The sequence below is a fragment of the Homo sapiens genome, chromosome 18, assembly GCF_000001405.40.
Source record: "Homo sapiens chromosome 18, GRCh38.p14 Primary Assembly".
Classification (NCBI taxonomy): Eukaryota; Metazoa; Chordata; class Mammalia; order Primates; family Hominidae; genus Homo; species Homo sapiens.
In genome coordinates, this window is record NC_000018.10 from 67,783,211 (window position 1) to 67,805,904 (window position 22,694).

Consider the following 22,694-nt stretch of genomic DNA (forward strand, 5'->3'; position numbering starts at 1 on the left):
TCCACAATAATCTCTTAAAGAGTGGGACTGGTATTTTTAACACTATCCAAAGAATGCCTTCCTTTAGTATGTTTACTGCAGAAAATAGACTGCCCCAATATATACAAAGCACTTTCAGAGCTCCTCCCTGCTCTATTTTGTATAAGAATTTGGAAGACTAGGTCCAAGACTCAGTTCTCTCATCAAAGAACAGTATGGCTGTGAACAAAAGAGTTAGCCTGCATATTTTAGTTTCTCATTGGCAAAAGAAGCAGAAAGGATGATGTCGCTAAGGTCACTTCCAGTCTTACAACATTTTGAGACTTTTAGCTGGAAATATTTGAACATGAGAAGCTTCTTTTTCCATCTCTTCCAAACCTTATCTTATTATCAACAGACTGTTTAATTGAATAGGATAAAGAGATCCATGAAAATTTTATGTCAAAGAGGGTTATAATGGCAATCCCCTTTCCCTTGGTGTTGGTAGGTGGCAGTGATGAAATATACAAATACCATCTTAGGGCTTTAAACCACCAACTGATCAAAATCAGTCCCTTGACTCCTCTCCTATTGTCTCCATGAGTCACTGCCCATATTAGATTCTGATGTAAGAATTAGTCACAGTGAGACATTCAAAGGATGTTAGAAAATGTAACCACACTAAGCACTGATAAATGTATATATACATGGCATATTATATTTACTTCATAAATTTAATGTGATTAATTGTTGAAAGACATAAAAAGGATTTAGGTCTCAGGAAAAGAAATTATGCCATTTTATAATAAATTTCTGAATCCAAGATGAACCCTTTATGTAATTATTGATATAGGTTAGCAATTGAACTGAACAATATTTTTGTAATTTCCAGTTTGCATTCTACAAAAGACCAAGCTCTACCTGTAAGTATTACAATGTCTACGTTTTAAAGTTAAAAGGAGAGAGAAGATGCAAGAGGATTTTACTTGCATGAAGGAGTGGAGGATAGAAACTTAGTTAACAGCAGGGATGAGAGAAAAAAATGATGGTTGGATGTTGTGAGAGAGCAAAGAAATGGGAAGGAGAAAAAAACACACAAGATGGAGGGCATAAAGTAGGAAATCCTGGTAAATTACAAAAATGGCTAAAAGCAAAGTAAATCATCTGTGGGCTATAAGCTATTCATAAGGATCTATTATTAAATGTATTTCCCTTGACTATGAAATGAATTCTCCTACAGGGTCAATTTATTATTTATTTTGTCTTGTCAATTTTTAATCTAGGCATCTAGTAATTCTAATTACAATGATGTTATACCTCTCCCCACCTCTTCCTCCAATGAACATTCAAGGATATAAAGGTATTATGTTTATAACCAAATGCTGTTCAGTTATTTCAGTAATCTAAGTGCAAATTTAAAACACATATGATGGTGGCTGATTTTACAGTATACCAAAGTAAAAACATGTATGAAACTCAGTAGGCACAACAATAAATGCCCAGGTGGGTGACTTAATGAATAAATAAAGCACATCTACATGACAATCAGTAGACAGAGCAAAATTCATAGTAAGATTCTTCAGATTAACTCTTCATACTTTTCTTTAACTTTGTGTAAACACGTTATTAACGAATACGGAAATAAATTACCTGCATTTATCACCCGCCCATGATTCATTAGTTTAACTCAGAGATTGGCAAACCGAGCCTGTGGGCTCAATTTATCCTGCCATCTGTTTTTGACAATTCTTTCCTCTACATCTGCAGTTTGGTAATTTTTAAGTGTGCAATTAATATCTGAACCACTTTTTATCTTGCTTTCTATTCTTTCACAGAAAATGAGAACAATCTGAATAAAATTTCGTTAAGATAAAATGACTAATAATAAGCTGTTTCTAAAAGTCAAGTGGAAAAAAAATTTACTATCTAGACCTTAAGGAGAATTGGAACTTTAAAAAAAGGCGCATTTATTTATTTTGCTTTTGGCCAAAAATAACAATAATCGTAATAGAGAATCCATATGGTTAATGGTAAAACACATAAAGAAGAACTGAAACATCTGATAAAGTTTAAATCTCAGCTCCCTTACCATTTATAACTTTTAGACATTGCTTTTAAATCTATAAAATATGGATTTTAATATTATTTTCCTCATAGATCATTGTGCATATTACATTAATATATAAAAGGTGCTTAGAATATAATCTCATACATAGTGCACTCTCAGGAATGTTATATATTATTCATCATATTGAAAATCAACTATACTGTAACATTTGATGATGATAGTTGAACATTTTTGGAAGAAGGAAAATCAACTGCAATCTCAAATCAATGTTTGATGTTGCACAATTAAAATGATGATATTATTGGAACTATTTTGCCTTCATAACACTTAGTGAAGAGTTTGTGTCTGACTTCATACCAGGATGGGAAAATCAGTTAATTTCAGCTTAGTGGTTTCTTTCTCCTCTTAAATAAATATATTTAATAAAATTAAATTAGAAAAAAAAGTAAAATCTCAACTTAGATTTGTGTTAAACTTACTTCTCTGGATGAAAAATATAAATAAATACATAAGGGTAACATCTTTCTTTTTCTCTAAGACAATATTGTGACTTCTTCTCTGATTATATTAATTTTCTGACTGATCTGTCTAATATTGACAGTGGGGTGTTAAAGTCTCCTACTATTATTATGTGGGTGCCTAAGTCTCTCTGTAGGTCTCTAAAACTTGCTTTATTAATCTGGGTGCTCCTGTATTGGGTGCTTATATATATTGAGGATAGTTAGCTCTTCTTGTTGCATTGATCCCTTTACCCTTATGTAATGCCCTTCTTTGTCTTTTTTGATCTTTGGAGGTTTAAAGTCTGCTTTATCAGAGACCAGGACTGGAACCCCTGCTTTTTTTTGCTTTGCCTTTGCTCTATTTATGCTGTGACCATCACTCACTGCAGCCTCATCCTCCTGGGCTCAAGCGGTCCTCCCACCCCAGACTCCCAAGTAGCTGAGACTACAGGCATGCACCAGAACATCCAGCTATTATTATTATTATTATCATATTTTTGTAGAAACTGAGTCTTGCTATATTGTCCAGGCTGGTCTTGAATTCCTGCGCACAAGAATTCCTCCAACCTCAACTTCCCGAAGCGCTGGGATTACTGGCATGCACCACCATGCCTGGCCTCTTATACCTATTTTATTCTAATCTAAGATTTTATTAGTGCATATTGTTTTTAATAGGTACACATAAAATGTGTTTTTCTTTTATTTCACTTGTCACTAAATTTTGGCATGAAGGTTTTTTATGTTTTTAGTGATAAACAGGAGTTAGAGTCACATGATGTGGTTTAATTTTGATATGTTAGACTTTAAAAACATTTCCATCTTAATTTGTATTTTCTAGATAAAAATGTGAATTAGGCAAAATAAAAATGTTTTCCGTTAATTATTTAGTGTATTGTCTGTACTTGCACAGAGAATAAACAACTGCTGCTTTGGCAAATCATAGGATGTCATAAAATGGACACACTATTCATTGCTATTCTTCTGTTTTTACATGTCCTTTCAGAAAAAATATCTATGCATACAACATGAATACATAATGAAAAGAAACAGGCAAAATTCTGTCGGGTGCCTCTTCACTCTGATGATAGTTTCTTTTGCTGTGCAGAAGCTCTTTAGTTTAATTAGATCCCATTTATCAATTGTGGCTTTTGTTGCCATTGCTTTTGGTGTTTTAGTCATGAAGTCTTTGCCCATGCCTATGTCCTGAATGGTGTTGCCTAGGTTTTCTTCTAGAGTTTTTATGGGTGTAGGTCTTAATGAGATAGCATCTCATACCAATTAGAATGACGATCATTGAAAAGTCAGGAAACCACAGATGCTGGAGAGGATGTGGAGAAATATGAATGGTTTTACACAGTTGGTGGGAGTGTAAATTAGTTCAACCATTGTGGAAGACAGTGTGGTGATTCCTCAAGGATCTAGAACTAGAAATACCATTTGATCCAGGAATCCCATTACTGGGTATATGCCCAGAGTTTTATAAATCATGCTACTATAAAGACATATGCACACGTATGTTTACTGCAGCACTGTTCACAATAGTAAAGACTTGGAACCAACCCAAATGCCCATCAATGATAGACTGGATTAAGAAAATGTGGCACCGTGGAATACTATGTAGCCATAAAAAAGGATGCGTTCATGTTCTTTTCAGGGACATGGATGAAGTTGGAAACGATCATTCTCTGCAAACTAACACAGGAACAGAAAACCAAGCAGTGCATGTTCTCACTCATAAGTGAGAGTTGAACAATGAGAACACATGGACACAAGGAGGGGAACATCACACACGGGGGCCTGTCAGGGGGTGTGGGGCTAGGGGAGGGATAGCATAAGGAGAAATACCTAATGTAGATGATGGGTTGATGGGTGCAGCAAACCACCATGGCACGTGTATACCTATGTAACAAACCTGTGTGCTCTGCACATGTATCCCGGAACTTAAAGTATAATTAACAACAACAACAAAAAATCCTCCAACTATCCCCACATCTTTACTTTGAAAAGCTGTGTCCCCTGAGAAAGGCCTTTCCCCAAAGCCCTTTTGCTCTGTCATCGGCATCCCTGCAGCCTCTGCTGTGTGGCTCCCTGCAGGACTATGCTCTTATCTGGGAGGGGAGGGCATTCCCATGACCACCCTGGCAGGCAGGAGCTCAGCACCTGATTTCTGAAAACTCACTCACTTGGTTCAGCTATTCCGCTTCGGAGTGTAAGTTTCCTTAGCAGCCAGGGTATTCTAACTACCATATTTTCCAGGGTTTTGAAGGTCCACAGTGTGGTCATAAAGCCAAAGCTGCATCACCAGGCCTTTAGAGATTTCCCCCAAAGTATCTGAGTGCCCATTGGATGGGCTCGCAGCATGAAAGGACTACAGATGCTGCTTCACTTGCCCTTTTAGGCTAGTTAATTTCCAAATTCAACAGTCATACCAAATACATCAGGCCGATGAAGAACCGAAAAGAAGAAAAAGCGCCAAAACTGTTTCAAACCTTCTTATCTTTACGCCAAATACGCAGACACATAACTCTCTTTTTAAAAATTCAAGTTCATCATCTGGGAGGTTGAAGCCTTCAATGATTCTTGTAGCTTTAGGACAGATTGGTTGCTGACTTCCAGATGATTTTTCCAGATTTCCACGCAGTGTGGTTGTTTTTTCTGTCTTCTGCAGAGCAGCTGGAGCCCTGTGCAATGGGCTGGAGAGGTTGAGGTCCCCTTGCACATTCTCCAGCCTGGCCTTCCACACCTGCCAGGATCCATCCTCAGCTCTTGTGAAACTAGTCCAGGGCCCCTTGTTAGCTGAAGTTTCTCCACCACACTGAGAGGATCTGCTTTGTTGAAACTCCTCGCAGAGCTCTGTGGTTGAGAGCAAATAAAAAAATAGTGCTCTGCTCATAGGTCTCATCAATGGTGTTGTGCACACTGTCCCCTAACCCACCTTTCCTGTGCACCTTCTCACAACTGGGATAAACGATGTATTTCAACTTTTTCAGCTCCAGATGTTTGAAAACGTCACTCAGTCCTTACACAAGTCAGCCTTTGGTCTTGGTTTTGGCTGGATCTTTCTGGCACATACGGTCTTGGAAAGGGACCAGTTATTGAAGCAGGCGCAGTTACACAGGCTTCCATTTCCTTACTGAACCTCTGGCTGCAGGGATCCCGCACCTGCGGCTGTGAATCTTAGCAAAGGCAGAGTGGTTGGGAGCAAGGAAGCTGCAGCGTCCCTCTGGAGTCCTGTGTCCCGCGGCTCTTCTGTCCTGCCCTGGGCCACAGGAATGCAGGGGACAGGGAAGTCCATCCCCCTGGATCTGAGGGGTCCACCTCCTGGGTTTGTGCATTATCACTGGCAAAAGCTGGGCTCCTGGCATTTTCTTGGAGATGCTGCTGCTTTCTCTCGCCATTCTTGCCACATAATCTTCAGTGAGGTTGACTTCATGGCCTTGGGAACCTCTCTCTTTTTCCCCTTCTTCTTCAAGGGGATGCTGCAGTGGAAGGGCTTGTGCGGGGAGCCTCCTCACCTGACCCACGCGGCTTCTCTGGAAAGGGCTCATAGGGCTCCGGCTGAGAACACCACTGGTCTGCACACTGCGAGTGCTGCTGCTTTTTCAGTGCTGTCAGCATTTTCCCCAAACCCAGCCGTACTGGAATCTGGCTCTTCTTTAAACCATTTAAAAAATTATTCCATGGCTGCTGTTTAGATTGCAATTTGGTGACTCGACTCTCTCTTCTTTCAGATGCAGCAGTCAGGTTGGGAAACTCCTTGACATCTTCAATTATTGGTGGCTCTTGAGCTATCAGGATTCGTAATGCGATTTAGATTTTCGTATTTCGATTTAAACTTGCCTTTCTTTTCTTTCTTTTTTTTTTTTTTTCCCTGAGGCTTCATTTTGTTCAAGGTTGCCAGCATGTGATGCTTCAGACATTTTCACATGATGAATAACGTGTTTTCCTTTGTTATGGGAAGGATCTGAAGATAAAACTTCAAAAAATTATACACTAACAACTTTAGGATCTGCTGATGAAGCACTTGTCTTCATAGGTACCCAGGTTTAGCATGGAAGCACCGTTTTTAGGGATTGGGGACAGTGCTATACGTAATGTCTGCCAAACAGCATCACCACTGGTGTCCAGGATAACTCTTGTACAGGAAGGGGAGTTGGTAGCAGCATCAGAAGTTACAGATTCACTTGGATAATTGTTTTTCACCACTCTTTCACCCTCTGAGAACATGTCAGCTGAATTCACCACTTCTCTTAGAAGACAAACGTTGGTCCACGTGGAGTAGCCCGATCCCCACTTGGGTTGCTTTTGTATCGTTGTTGCTTTTGTTCTCTGGACCTTGTAGTTGAGGAAAATCCAACCTGATAAATTCAAATTCAGGTTTGGTGGAAGACCTACTTTTTGCAGTGGTTCTGTGTTTCCTGTTTGTTTTTTGTTGCCTAGGCTGTAGGGCAGTGGTTGGATCATATCTCACTGCAGCCTCAACTTCCCAGGCTCGAGGGATCCTGCCACCTCAGCCTCCTGAGTAGCTAAGACTACAGGCCTGCACCACCACGCCCAGCTAATATTTTCATTTTTTGTAGAGATGGAGTCTCACTATATGGCCCAGGTGGTCTCTAACTCCTGGACTGAGATGATCTTACCGCCTCAGCCTCTCAAAATGCTGCTATTATAGGTATGAGCCACCACACCTGACTCCTGTCTATTTGTTTATAATATTAACCATTTGATTTCAAACTGTCCTCAGCATGAATGGACTAATGATGTGAATGTTTAGCTGATCTTGTCTCAGATGATATGGTTCCATCAGCCCTTTTACTGTCAAACTTTTGCTCATTACACATTATTTTTTTCCTCATCATCGTTTGGTTCTTAAACAGAGTTTTGTTTCTTGTGGAAAATGGCACATGGAATCCTTTTGGAGCCTCACAGTTTGAAAACCTTGGTAACAACTGAGTTGGTTATAATCATACTGGGATCAGGTGCTGAGCAAGCATTTTGTGTAGAGTCGAGGGTAAAAGGAGAATAGGCGTATGGATGAAGAGTTATCTCAGAAGGTAAATTCTGAGGTGGGAAAGTTGAAGCTCCTGAGGCTATATCTTCAGAATATATTTTCTGCTCTGTCACTCCTGGCTCTGGAACAAATAGACAGTGTGTGGCTGCACAGCTAAGGAAAGCATATGCTTCTGAGGACTGTGACCATGCCACCTTGGGCCCAGCTAATCTGGGAACGAAGGGTTTGACATCTACTGACAACTTATGGCCTTATCTTCCAGCTCACATGGTCCCTCCAAGGAGCACTGTGTAGGCTGTGTGGGGGTGGCCAGCAGCCAACCTGTAGGCTGGTCCTGATTCTTTCTTGATACCTGATTTTTTTTTTTTTTTTTTAAGACAGAGTCTCACTCTAGTTGTATTTTTAGTTTCACCATATTGGCCAGGATGGTCTCGATCTCTTGACCTCGAGATTCACCTGCCTTGGCCTCCCAAAGTGCTGGGATTACAGGCGTGAGCCACTGCGCAAGCTTCTTATCATCACCCTCTCTTCTTTTCTCTACCCACTGCCACCTTCAAGGTCAATAGTTACCTTCACCACCTACTTTGTTCTCTCTCCTCCAAAAGCAACATCTTTCCAAGATCGCAACCATTGACCTCATGAACTTCCCAAGTTCCTTCCCTCTGACTCCCTGTGGCCAGTGTTGCGCTCTGTCATGTGTCAGATGTACTATGTCAGTTTACACTCAGGGTAAGCTCTTCTCTTCCCAGGTGATACTCTTGTTAACATCGTCTGGGCTCTAACACTGCCTGTGCCCTTTCACGTGCCTTTGCTTTTGCAAAATCCTGCCAGTTTCTCTACACTGGCACGGGATATAGCACCTATGTGACTGGGGGACAAATGTTTTTACCTGCAGATCACTTGGAGTTCATAATTTTTACTGTTACACTGTAGGTAGAGATTATGGTTGATTTAATTGTTCTCTATCAACAACACAGAGCAGAGCCAATTATTGAAATCAGGTCTGTTTGAATCCAGGATGAAGATCTTCCTTGTTTACCAGACTGATTTTTCCAAGTAACTGATTGAATGTGACACTTCTGCTCATATTGTTTATGTTCAATTACGATAACTTTTTTGGTATGATTTGAAGATTCTTTAAAATATTTGGTTTAGTGTACTTATGGTTCCTAGTCTTCATTTTTCTAAATGATAAACATTGAACTGAATGGAAAGTTAGGGGGTAAATTTTTTTATTAAGTGACGCTGAGTATTACTTAATGTATTTATCATCTTTTTCACTTTAGGATATTTTTTATTGTACAACTATTGCCTTTAAACCTGGGAAATCAGCAAACATTTTAGGAATCCTTTTCTTTTCTAAGCCTTTTATTGTTTACTGCAGCATTTTTAAGCTTTATCAATCAATTAGTGAACCAAAATTTTCCATTAAACATTCATCACAATAATGCCATCTGCATAAACACCCCACTACATTCCCTAAAAGTTGGGTCAAGTTCTTGGCCCAAAATAGTAATAATAATAGGGTATTGGGAGGGGAAATTACTACTCATAATTACCTCCATAACAGACCGACACTAGAATACCATCCAGTACAACATCTGATATCAAAAGAGATGTGTGTTTTATTCTCTCTTAATCGTTGATGCTAGATAGACCTTTAAATTTTCCTGTAACGACTTTTTCCTTACAGGGGCTTTATGATTTGAAAGCCGTATTACAGGCACGCTTAATATTTCCTTATATATATATATATATGTATATATTTTATTTTCAGAGTGATTCACACACACACACACACACACACACACACAAGTTTTAGTACAATCCCAACTTCACAATTTCCATCAGAAAGCATTGCTAGCTAATCTTTGAATGTCTGAGGAATAGTAACTTATTGTTTTATCTTCTAAACTTTCTCATGCATAAAAAATTAATAACGTTTTGTATGCTTAATTCAGTTACGCCTTTATGTATTTCAATTGACTACTGTTTGTTCCAAATGTTTTGAATATAAACACTTTCATAGGACTGTAAGGTTCATTTATTTTCTTAACAAGGTTTATCTTGTTCAAAGATGATACTGTCATTGCAATATAAGAGAAAACAATGATGATAATACATAGCATTTTTAATCGATGTAATGCAGTTCAGAGTTTAAATTGTGACTGAAGCAGACTCCACATTTTCTCGCTTGAAATCACACATTAAAACATGCGTGTTGGCACAGAGATGAAAATACATGACAGCAGGTTTTCTATTTTGATGGTGAATTTTAAGTAAAACTGGAATTGTCATAATAAGAAATATTAAGTTCATGAAAATTCAGATAGTAATGGATAACTTTATCGCTCATTAATATTAATTAAAATTATATTTTAAATTATTTGTTTTAAAATAAAAGTATATAATTTATTGCAATGCATTAATAAAATATATACAATGTATTTGCTACAAATTACAAAATGTCAAATTTCCCCCCAGATTAGCACCTTAAAACAACCATTTTATTTTCCTCATGGTGTTGTGTTCCAGGAATTTGAAATGTGCTTGGCAGGGGAGTTCTGCTTAGAAAGAATATCTCATATAGCTGTAATCAGTTGTTGCCTTGGGCAGCAGTTCACTGAAGTTTCAACTTGGCTGAATGTTCAAGATCGCCCATTCAATCCTGGCATTTGAGGCTGGCTGGCTGCAGTAAGAGCCATGGTGTTGCTGACCAGATCACCTCCGCTTTCCAACATGGCAGTTTGAGGGTAGTCAAATTGCTTTCATGTTGGCTGCTTTGACCTGAGCAAATGTATAATCCAGACAGAAGCTGTCTGGACATAGTTGACCTAGCCTCAGACGTCATATAGGATTATTTCTTTCTTACTTCATTGGTGGAAAAAGTACATCAACATTCAAGAAGAGAAAACATAGACCCTATTCTTCAATAGTCTTCAAGACATTTCTTCCAAATATCTTTGGAAGAATGGTCTGCCATATTAAGTTCTATTGGTATATTTTAATAGTATTATGATGATTAAACCCATTACCAGCTTTTTTTTTAATTGAGAGAAAAATACTAATAAGTGGTTTTTCTTTAAAATTGTATCTGTACCTTGGTAGGCCTGGAGAACATTGATATTCTGCTTTGGTGTATATGTTGACTGCTACCATAATTAGTTCACTTTTAACATGGCTGTGATTTTCCCACCAACATGGTTGGTGGCTTGGGCTACTATCATATATTTCTATCCCTTTGCAAAATTGTAACAACACAGATAGGTAAATAAATATAACAGCCAACATAATACAGATAATTAGTTTTACTATAAAGTAATGACTTATAAATATTGCAAAGACAAAGATGATTTATGTTTAATTTGGATACATGATTGCTTTCAGAGGAGTTTTGGGATCAGAACAGACAGGGACAAAATGTTATTCAATCTCATCTTAATGCATATTGCTTTTATTTAAAAAGTAGGCAAAGTAAATATGACAAAATGTCAACCTTTATACATTCTGGGTTATGAGGATATAATTTTAGTTTATCTGCTTTTATGTAGTTTCAAAAATTCTCAATATGATATAGAATATTCATAATAGTTATAGATGTGTATAATAAAATATTCTTTAACATGTATAACTTCACTTTTAAAATACAAGGTTAATTTTAAATATATCTTATTTTAATTTTGTCTGCTTTTAAATATACTGTACATTTTCTTTTATTTTAATCATTTCCACATATTAGAAATATGATATCAACAATTTAATCAAAATAAATGGCATTACATTTCAATTTAATTAAATATTGTACATATCTTTACAGATCATTTGTACCTAAATAACTGCAAGTACAACAATATTATTTTTCTGCATTTATCATTCCAACCTAAACAGTCATGCCTCCTTGTGTGTGAAAACATTTCTTCCTTCCAATCTGTAAGACTGCCAAAATCAGAAGAGAGCCAGACTAATGACAGCGACTAGACTCGTTGTGTCTGGAAGGCACTGATAATGCTCCATGTGCATTAATGACATCTGTGTAACTGAAAACAGTAAGACTTAAATGGATCTTGGAATCATAAAAGAGTAGCAAGCAATTTCCCATTTTTCTGCTGTGTGAAATGGTGCTACTTTGCTATGTCTTCCTTGCATTAGTCTCTGAAATCAATATGCATGGAAAAAGCTGATCATTTTTAATAGGGTCACTTTATTAACTTAAGAGCTAAAATGTTATCCTAACTGAATACTGATTTGTTCTCAAATGTATAAATATAAATGACTTCCTCTAGAAGGGTCCTTTGGATCAATATTGAGTCCGCCACAGGGTCTTTTTGTAAAGGTAATAGGATAATGGTGAGAGGTGCCATGTGCTAAGAATTTTAACTGAGTTCATGCTAACTAGTTCTTTAGACCTAGAGAAAAATAGAACATGACCTAGAGAAGGCAGGGCAAAATAAAATCTAATTCCAAAATAAAGTCTAATGTTCAGCCAATTTTATTTTACAATCTTTGTGTACTTTTCCATGTGAGTTATTTTGGTAATATAATCTTGTGATCTATAACCCACCACTTATTTTAGAGCAAGTATTAAGGACAATTTTTTTAGTGAGAGAAAAGGGTTAGTTTTTGTTTTTGTTGTTGACTTTGCAGTGTCGAAGTCTCCCATCATCTAATAATAATGGTGGACATTAAAGTGCTAATTATGTACTAACATTTAGTCCACAGTTCAACACATTAGGTAGACATTTTTGCCCACCACTTAAAAATTGATTAGACTATTGTAACATGTATCAAGGTACACAGCTGTCAATTAGTGCAGTGCAAACTCAAACTAAATTCCAAATCTAAACTCTAGGAACTGAAATACTGTTTCACGTCACCTGTCTAATCTCATTAAATCTCAAATCCCACAATTAGGCATTTATCTCTTTGTCCTTCTCAAGTTTTAAAATTTGACTTAACCTAACATGTAATTTAAGATTTGAATACAAAGTCACAATTAGCCTGTCCAATGGTTGTATCGATTCAGGTGTCTACAAGAAAAGTAATTAAATACCCAACAGAGTAATGAGAAAAGTAAAAGGATGAATTACAAATGAAATCAACAAGGAGAGGAGAAACACCCCACAACCAGCCTAGAAGCAAGAAGAGGGAAGAGTTACCTTTACCACTATTGCAAGGGAGAGCTATGGCTCCAGCAATGGGAGAGCCACCTGATAGGAACTTTCATCCTCAAGAAAGAAGTGGAACCACTGACATCCCTGAGTCCAGGAAGCAAGAGGTCAATGGAACAAAGACACCATTCTCATTCTCATTCTCCTTTCCCCCACAACCTCCAGCTTGTTTTGCTCATTGGTTGAACCCAAACTAAAGACGGGGCAAACATCCTTTTGTTTTCATAATAGCCAGCAGCCCAGGAGATGAAGCAAAGCGAAGACAGGTGAGATGAAGGGACAAGGAGAATTTCCAGGACCATGACATTTTTTGTGTTTCCAGTCTTTCTGCCATAACACAGATGCCTGAATATACATTGGCAATAGCAAGACAGAAATGTTTCTCTCCTGTGTAAGTCTCCAAAGGTGGATAGTCCAGCAGGGGTAAGTTTCCTCTGTTCCTCTAAACATAAATCTCCTCCTCTGCATCCAGAGATCCTGCCAACAGTCTTTAACCTAGGCAAAAGAAATGAGAAAAACCCGCACCCTGCTTTGAAGAGCTTGTTGTGAAAGGGGCACCTGTCACTTCTCACATGCCGCTGTCCCAAAAAAGGTCATCCATTGCACAAAGGGCCCAGCTAAGGCTTGGTGATTTTCATCATGAAAGCAGAGAGAACTGATGCTGATGTGAAACCATCAAAAGTGCTCCAGGGAGAAGAAAGAGCATGCATGAAAGCACTAAGACGTAAAGAAGCTTGCTTGGAAACATTTATGCCTGAAGAGAATGATGATTACCAGCATTTGTAAATATGCACACATATAAACTTTTCCTGAAGTTTACACATTATGCCATATATTGTGCACAATATTTCTCTTAAAGTGCCTTGTCTTGGACAGTCAACTTGCTACATGGGCCAATAAAATGTGTATGCTAAACATACAGATTGAGTTTATTGCTGCAATAAAATAAAACTCATGGCAAATTTAGTAGGATATATTTCTAATGACATGCATAATTGTCTTTTTGCTACATGCTAATTATGTAGATATAAATGAAATGCCATTTCCAAATAATACTAACTATAGTCACTTAAGTGGAACACCAAATCATGTATTTAATTCTCTGAGGTTTCTAATAGATGTTTTCACTAGGAGTGTTTAATTCTCCTGTGCATCCTTGTGAGGCAAAGTGAACAAACACCATTACCTGACGTTACCATCTTCTGGGGCAGTTGGATTTAACACTTTACTCTGAGATTCTCTATGTTCATTTTCTATTAGTGACTGTCTCCTCTACATATCATATCTCTAAGTTATTATGACATTGCCCTGCCCTTTTATAAGGGCCAAGAGTGAAGTTATGGTAAAGCAACGATGCACATTTAGAAAGAGGCAATACATTGTGAGGAGGTCAGTTCTCACTTCCTGCTTTTACATTTCACCCCTCCTTTGACTCTAAGTTCTAACAGTTCAAATTCAGTTATCGTTCTCAGGCCTATCCTAAGGAACATAATAAATACAGAATATTTTTTTCAAATCTATCTGCACTAATTGTGCTGGGTATTATATGTCAAATGATAGACCAAGTAATTCCCTACTCAGATATAAAATTTATAATATGCAATTTTTATAAAAATTAATAAATGTTGAAATAGAAGGGAAATGTACCATGTAATTCACAAAATCTGAAACCTTTTTGAAAGAGGAGGGCATTAGGAAACAATCACTGAAGATTGGAGGGTGAGAGTTTTTTTTTTTTTTTTTTTTGCAGTGGGGGAGTAAAAGGAACAAGAAGACACTTAAATTAAAACATCTCATATTTTATAATTAATTTTAAACTGTTGCCATTTGTCCTGATATGGACATGGATGCCTACTTGTGTATAAAATAATCTTTTTTTATTGTTTTATATTTCTTGGCCACATAGAATTTTAAATGCTGGACATCAAATATTCTTTATGAGTACAAAATAATCTTTAAAATTTGGATTGCATCATACCAAGGTGATTTCACCAGCAAGCAATAAGTGGCAGGCATTGTGCATTTACATTCTTTACCGCATATCCCTTGTATGTAGCCATATAATTACCTCATGACTACAATTGCTATATTTCAGTTTCCTAGGTAATCATAACTTGTCACTCTATTTTAGTGTTTATATGAGTATATTAGGTACATATGGATGACACTGAGCTATGTAGCTTTTGCATCTACCATCCTGTGTTTGCATCTACCATCTTGGAATAATTTTGTGTTTTCCAGAGTTAATGATTGTATCATCTTTCTTTTTATTTCCTGTGTTCCTTTCAATATTACAACCTCCAAAACATCTAACAAAGTTATAGGAATCTATTTAATATGTTTGAACAAATCACCTTCTGTTAAAAATAATCACTTTTTCCTCATGTTTCACAAAGTGCTTTTTGCACCATTGTCTTCCTAGAAATTCCTTTTGCTATAAACCTAGGGATACTCATCACAGGTGGTATAGGTTCTGTGCTGAGTCCTAGTCCTGAGTCCTAAGTATTTATTTTTATTAGATAACAATCATTTTAATAAGAACATTCTCTTATATCAGGATGAAAAAGCCACATGAGAATAAATTATTTTTGACTTTACATTTAAAGCTGGCTTTAGTCTACCCTGCCTCCAACACACGAAAATATACTTCATTTGATAAATTAGCTGGATACTTTAAAGTGCTAAAGATAAAATGTCTTTGTGTCCAACTGCCTCTTGGCTTCCAAAACATATGTAAAGATGTTTTATTTGCTGTACTTAAATGAATGCATAATTATGAAAACTAAAAGACCTAAATAATTTATACGTATTATAAGTATTTAAGTTGTGCAAAAAATGTAAGTTGATTAAGCATGGTGGAAGTCTCTTGGGAGTCTCAATTATGTGTCTCAATTTTGAAGAAAATATTATTGTGTAACATATTGACTGAAAACTATGTATCTATATCAAATATATTCCCAATATTCAATATTTAATATGCAACTTCTAGGACAAAAGTTCCTTATGACTTTAACACTTCAACAGGTAGTATACACATATTTAGTTAATTGGAAATAAACTGTACTCAGCATTTGAAGAATATATGTACCATGAAATTTAAAAAATATTTTGAAAAATAAAAACAAATTTCAAAATTTGGTACTAAACTTTCCCAAACTTCACTAAAACTTGAAACTTGCTGAAACTGACTAATCTTCTAATTATGTTAAGATAATCAGATTTCTTAAGTCCCACAGAAGTTAAATTTATGCTAGTATATCCTATGAATGCAAATGGAAAAATGACACTTGCAATGCAGTGATTTGTAATATGATAGATAGAGTAACTTTTCATAGTTAGTGTTTGAGGTTCTCATCTTTAAGCAGCCTTTTCTCCTTTTTCCTGATAGAAGTCAATATTGCCTTCTTGGTGTTTCTATACTACTTTTTAGCATATTTCATACAATTTGTTTATTAATCTACACACATATCTAGAGAGAAAGAATATATTGTATTGCTGGACGAGAGACAGTATGGTGTCCAGCACAATATCCAGGCCATAATAGTTACTTAGGAAAATTTAGTTGACAGACTATGCCCATTAAGTTCCATGCTTCCAGAATACAAGCAACAGAATTAAGCTCATTGCAATTTCATTGTTAGTTGTTAGGAGAATTTGTCTTATATCTCACGCTTAGATGCATGTGTCACTAGTATTTCTGTGTGTTTTCATAGACACTATCTAGTCTTTCAGGAACTACAATTTAAAAAACATATGGTCATAAGTGGTAAATTATAAAACATAGTAACCTCAAATGTAAATATTTGATCTCATAGGGGTATAAAAGACCATTTCTCTGATAAGAGGGCAGTTTCTCTAGGACTGATATATTTCATGCACATATTGGCGGCTCACAAACAAAGATGAAGCCCATTCTTTGTAAGTAAGACAGATTACTGGGAACTTTGTTTGGATTTCTCCAACTGCTCTGTGCTTTCTTTTTTTCTGTTATATTTGTATCTTTCGCTTTCATTAGAGTGTATGTGAATATACAGAAATAATTGTTGCAGTGAAAGTGGTAGAACTTTTGCAACAACTCCAGATTTAATTTGAATATGACTAATCCTTTGTTTGGCAGAAGTAAAGAGAAGAACAGGGAGAATGAATTCTCTCTAATGCCAGGTTGCCTCTTGAGCCGCCCTGATTTGAGGTTGCCCAAACACTATGATCAATTAAGGAAAATTGGATGTAGATATAATAAATCCAGTAGCAGGGGAGATAGCAAAATTGGAAAGAACAAATCCAAGTGAAGGGAAAATCACAAACAATTTGGTTCCTTGGCTGAAAAAAAAAAAGTAAAGAAGAAAAAAACTGTATTACTGAAAGTCAAAATATAACCAAACATATTCAAAACTCTAGAATCTGTCTACTTGAAGTTAATTATGAAACAAGTTAGGAATTAAAATGTTGTCCTGATGAAATATTGTAAAAGTATCACAACTGATTCCACTTCTCATTACTCAAAGCATTCTAAAGATATGGATTCTGAACAGGTAACTCTTGAGATTACAGGTTATTTTGTCAAGGAATTGACTCGTATTGTGGACAGATACACACAGTTCCCAGAGTACTTTTATTGCAAATAATTTTACATTTTATTAACAAGGGTAAATTTCACTGGCTCTGCTCATGACTGAAAGAAGAGAGGTGTTTAAGTTAACACAAGATTCTCGGTAGGCAACTACATTCACCACTGTGTGTGTGAGAGATGACACGCTTTATCCTATCACTAATTTACTAATCTATATTAAAGGAGGAGTTAGATCAAAATATTGGGAGAAGGACAACTGCTTTGGTCTTGCTGAATAGAAATTGTAGTAGCCCCACTGAGGCTGTAAATATTCTGATAACACAAGTATAGCCTACTTTGGATTGGTTATGTCAGGGATTCTCAACTGGGGCTGACTTTGCTCCTCAAAGGATAAACAGCAATGTCTGAAAAGTGATTTAAACACTTTCTAAGTTGTTACAAAAACCTTTCAAATTAAAAATTAGGAAACCTATCAACAAGATTAAACCCAGTGGTAATTGTTAGAAGGTTGCTAAAAATGGAATGTAATAGGAGAACATGAATGATGTGGCTGCTGAGGTGTTGATAGTCACCATCAGAAAATAGGTGCCTCCAAAGTAAATCTCCTCTATCAACTCCTTGGACATTACAAGACCCTCAGTTGGTCTGTCATATAAACACAACCTTGATGAATTTAACAAATCTAGGAAAAAGAAAACTGAATATGTGGATTGTCACAGGTAAAACCAGTGAAATTGGTACAGGGTGAAAGAAGGCTACAATTCTGAATGCAAAGGAGGTCAAAGTCTCCTGGTAAAGCCCCTAGGTGTGAACATACAGCCATCAACATGGATGTGGAAAAATGGCATGCCTGTGTAAGGAACCCTTATTGGCATCACCGAAAACCAGAGCACGGTGTACAGACCCTAAACTCATGATAGAAATTTAAATGGCAATGTGATGATTTTTGAGGATGATGATGTGGTGATACCTCTCCCTGAATTCTTCAATAGAAAGCATACATGATATAGAATTGGGAGCCTCTTCCTTTACACAAGGCTCTGGGAAAATCATCTTGCATGTCTGCTCTTTGTGTGCTTTTAATTGGACACTTTTGAAGGGAACCTTTAGAATTACCTATGTCCACTCAATTAGATAATTGAAAACAATGTAAGTTAGCTGAGGTGGATAGAGGTATCAAAGGTTTTCTGCTCTTACTCAAGATGTGGTAGATTACTTGTCAGTCCAGTATAACCTGCAAGAAAAGCTGTCAGATCTTGGAGGTTAACTATAGACTGGATGAGTAAACAAAGTGATGTCTCCAAAGGTGTCAGCTTTACTAGAAGTAGAGCTAACAAGTCAAGCTATGCCACAAGTTGAAGTGTATTAGTATTCTGTTGAGATCAATTTGGCTAATTCTGTCTTTTGATTCCTACTTCATAAGAAAGTCAAAGTAAATTTGTATTCATGTGGTCGCCTACAATACATTTTTACTCTGCTGCCACAAAGATACTTATAAATTGGTTAAATAAAAGCATTAGGATAATTTCCATGATATAATGTTGATATCCATATGTGAAGGTCAAGCTAAGAATTAATTTCAACTGAGAATTAATCATATGACCCTCTGGGGATGGCTGCTCAACAATAGTACAATACAAGGTGTGACACAGATGGAAAAAGTCTTAAGAATAGCTTGGACATGAGCTCATTACCAACCATTTCTCAAACAATCAAAAATAAATTATTTATTCTAGCACCAAAGTATGTAAAAGAGGCACAGACACTAAATTGGTTCTTTTATTTTTGAAGAATGATAACTGAACTAGAGTTTTTACTACCCTCATTCACAAAGTTACATGAAAGAAAGTTGAACTTGAAAAGGTCTCTGTTGTGGGGTGAATTGTGTTTCCCCCTAAAAAAATGTATTGATATACTAATCACCAATACCTCTGAATGTGACTTGATTTGGAAAAAGAGTCATTGTAAATGCCATTAGTTAACATGAGGTCTTATGGAGGTATTCTGGGCCCCTAATCCAATAGGACAAGTGTCCTTATAAGAAGATAGCCATGTGCAGAAAGAGACAGAGGGAGAACACCATGTGCCAATAAGGGTGGAGACTGGAGTTAGGAAACTGCAAGTTGGGAACACCAGTGACTGCCAGCAAGCCATTGGACTCTAGGTGGATGAAAGGAGGTTGCAGAGGGAGCATGGCCCTGTGGAAGCCTTTGCCTCAGGCCTCTATCCTCCATCACTGAGACAATAATTTATGTGGTTTTAAGCCATCCAGTTTGTGCAATTTTGCTTTCACACACCTAGGAAACTAATTGAGGTTCTAAACAACACATTATATTGCAATTCGATTGCTCAGTTGACCTCTCTGGGTCTTCACTGTTAGATTGTGCAGACAGTATTATTAGAAATGTTAGCGACCCCCACTGAGTTAATCAACATGTGTAGCAAAAGTCCTTTCTACTACATTGCCATAGCTACGAGATTTTGGACTAGGAAGTTACCTGGAATTGTTAACAAATATACACACTTTGGAAATAATAATTGTCCTATGATTGGGAACTCATTCAAACTATCTTTAATACTGAAAGGCATAATCCTATTTTGATTCTTAAAATGCTCATGGTGACACAAGTAACATATCTAAGCAACATTCTAACAGGGAGGAAAATATACAAAGAAGCTTCCTCATGAAATGTAGGTGGTATATTTAGATGGGGAACCATAATAGATAGCCAGCACATAAATGAGCAGGTGGTAGTCAGTCTTCTGGGCAATACTTTAGAAGCTCCTGAGAAGCTACCTAATCCCACAGCTAAATGAGCACTGTCTTTTGGTAAATTGTTAGGTGATGCATAAAAGGCGTTAGAGTTTACTTGTGGTGGTTTTCAGGTTGCTGGGAAATATTTGATCTAGAAGGATGTTGCATTATGTCAAGATGATGGTCACATTCTGAAAAATGATATATACATATATATTATATACAGACACACATATTTTTTATATATATATATCCTCAATGATCAGAATTAATAGTGATATTATTTGGAATATCAGTAGAAAATAATAATAAAATTGGTAGTCATAGCAACATTTCTATAGTATTGAATTATACCAATTATTAGGTAGTAGCTATTGGACTGAAAATATAGTCTAGAAAATAGGTCTTGAATGATTAAATAATAAAGTGCACTTTTATGGAGGATGCTATTGAATGCAAACTGTTATATACATGGAAAGAGATAGAATTAAGTGAAGCCATATTAATACCCATCAAAAATCTCTCCTTCTGAATGCGAAAGGGTATAGCAGAAACAAATAATGTTCTCATCTGCCCTTTGATATTAGCATTCTGGGTACCCGAAATGACCATTCATGATATTCAAGCAATGTACATGGACAGAAAAAGGTCATTTTCTACTATGTCTCTCAAAAGCAAGAAAATTGATTAACAATTGTCATCCTTCTCAACAGATACATCAGCAACTAAGGTATAATAAGCCATAATATGCAGATGTGGACCAGTCCATAGTGGGCAAATGGACTGCATTGCTTCTGTTATTCACAGATCTCTGTGGATACCTATGGATCTTAACTGGAATATAGATTCATTCTATGTTTAGATTTGCATGCCCAGCAACAAAAGCAAATGTCTCTAAATAACTACAGGATTAAAACAGAAAATGTTATTTTAATTTGGAATCCTCGCTCAAGTAATATAAGAAAAAGGACCCCTTTTCACTGGAGATGCAGGGAAACAATGGGCTGAAAGGCATCACGTATGATGGATTTATCATTGAACCTTACCATACACAAACTTGTGAATTGTGTCAACACTGGAAAGAGTATCTAAGGCACCTCCTTAAACAACTCAGAAATAATAGGTGCCTAAGGGGATAACCTATGACTATATGAATGTGTGTTGAAACTTAATATGCATAGAAATAGAGGGGTATCATTGTGTATCTACTGTTGCAATATCATGGGAAACATAGGGAAGAGAGCATAGAGATTATGATAGAACTTACATAGTCCTCTTCTCTACTTCTGTAAATATTTTGTTTTCTCTGACTGATCCCATAGTAGTCCTGGGACCTGGCTGCATTTACAAGTTTCAAAAAAGCGTTGACTTTACACTATGTCACAATGGCAATACCTTTACAACTAACTGACTAAATTTATAATAGAATTTTGGAGTGGTTGTTTTTACTTCTCAACTCTAAGTTGAAGAAACAGTCACAGCTTTTTTCTCACCCAGTGGAGGAGTTCATGCTATGAGCTTATGATGATCTAAATTTATTTCATATGACTGGGAAGGGAGAAAGAGTAAAGCATTGGAAAGAATCACATTGACAGCAGCTGTATGAATTAGGCCCCTTGACTGAACTACAGGCTTTGGGTAAAATGCAGTGATAAATGGAATAAATGACAAGCACTTGTGGAAAGGAAGGGGTGAGGCAAGAAAGAGTTGATGCAAAAAGGAAAAACAAAAATTACTTTGGTATCTTCTGAAAAGTCAAGAGATATAACCACATATGTCTAGAGGGTGAAACTGTTTACCTATGAAAATCTCCTAGTTTTTGAATCAGAAACAGAAGGCTCAGGGCAGCTTCCAGCGAAGTGAAGACATGTTCAGTATGAGTTTAACTATGGCATGCACTTTGTTGATGCTAATGATACCCTGTAGATGAAACTAGTAATAATTAGAATACACTTTCACAATTGGTTCTCTTGTTAGAGGTTACATTTATCACAGAGAAACATTTCGCAGAAGTGTTGCCTTTAGAATGAATAGAAAACACTTTATTCAACTACACAAACACTACCAAATGTGTAACTATTAATTTGATGCTTGATGAGGGATGTGCCAGGTACAAAGATGTAAGGCAAATGGCTGTGCTTTAGTCAGGAGTCAGCCCAGGCAGCATTCTGGTGCAGCATGACTCGGCAGGTTTGGAGTGCAGGTGTACAACCCTACACATTCTGTGACTGTGCAACGTGAGGTGCATTAGGTGATCACCCTTGTGAGCTCATGCTTGACTCAGAGCCACTATTTCCTGCAAAAGGTAATAATTACCCTGATAACGCTGTACATATGGCTTGCTCGTGCCTAGAGAGAGAGTAAAGCCATGCTGAAACTGTCTACGTTTACTCGAGTGTTTTTCCAGCTATCTGCCACTTGCCCACTGACTCCCCTCGGACCTCAGTTAGAACTTGAGAAATGTATATAAAATTTCTTCTGTTTGCCTGATTTGTTTTAAGAACATATATTCTAATGCTTATAGACCTTTTTTTTTGTGGATGGAAACCTATAATAATGATAAAGAAAATCTGGCAAATAAAATGTTAAAAACATAATATACGCTGAGTACGTTTGTAGTAAACCCCCTAAAACAGTGAAATGAGACAGAGTCCTTAACATTTT

At 36.7% G+C, this 22,694-nt stretch overlaps 1 long non-coding RNA gene and 1 pseudogene across 1 annotated transcript in view; one reads left to right on the plus strand and one right to left on the minus strand.

Annotated features, from left to right (window-relative positions):
- Positions 1-22,694, plus strand: part of DSEL-AS1 (DSEL antisense RNA 1) — a 383,074-nt gene that overhangs the window by 266,665 nt on the left and 93,715 nt on the right. The gene's annotated exons all lie outside the window — the stretch shown is intronic.
- LOC100129135 (selenocysteine insertion sequence-binding protein 2-like) lies at positions 5,062-7,823 on the minus strand (annotated as a pseudogene).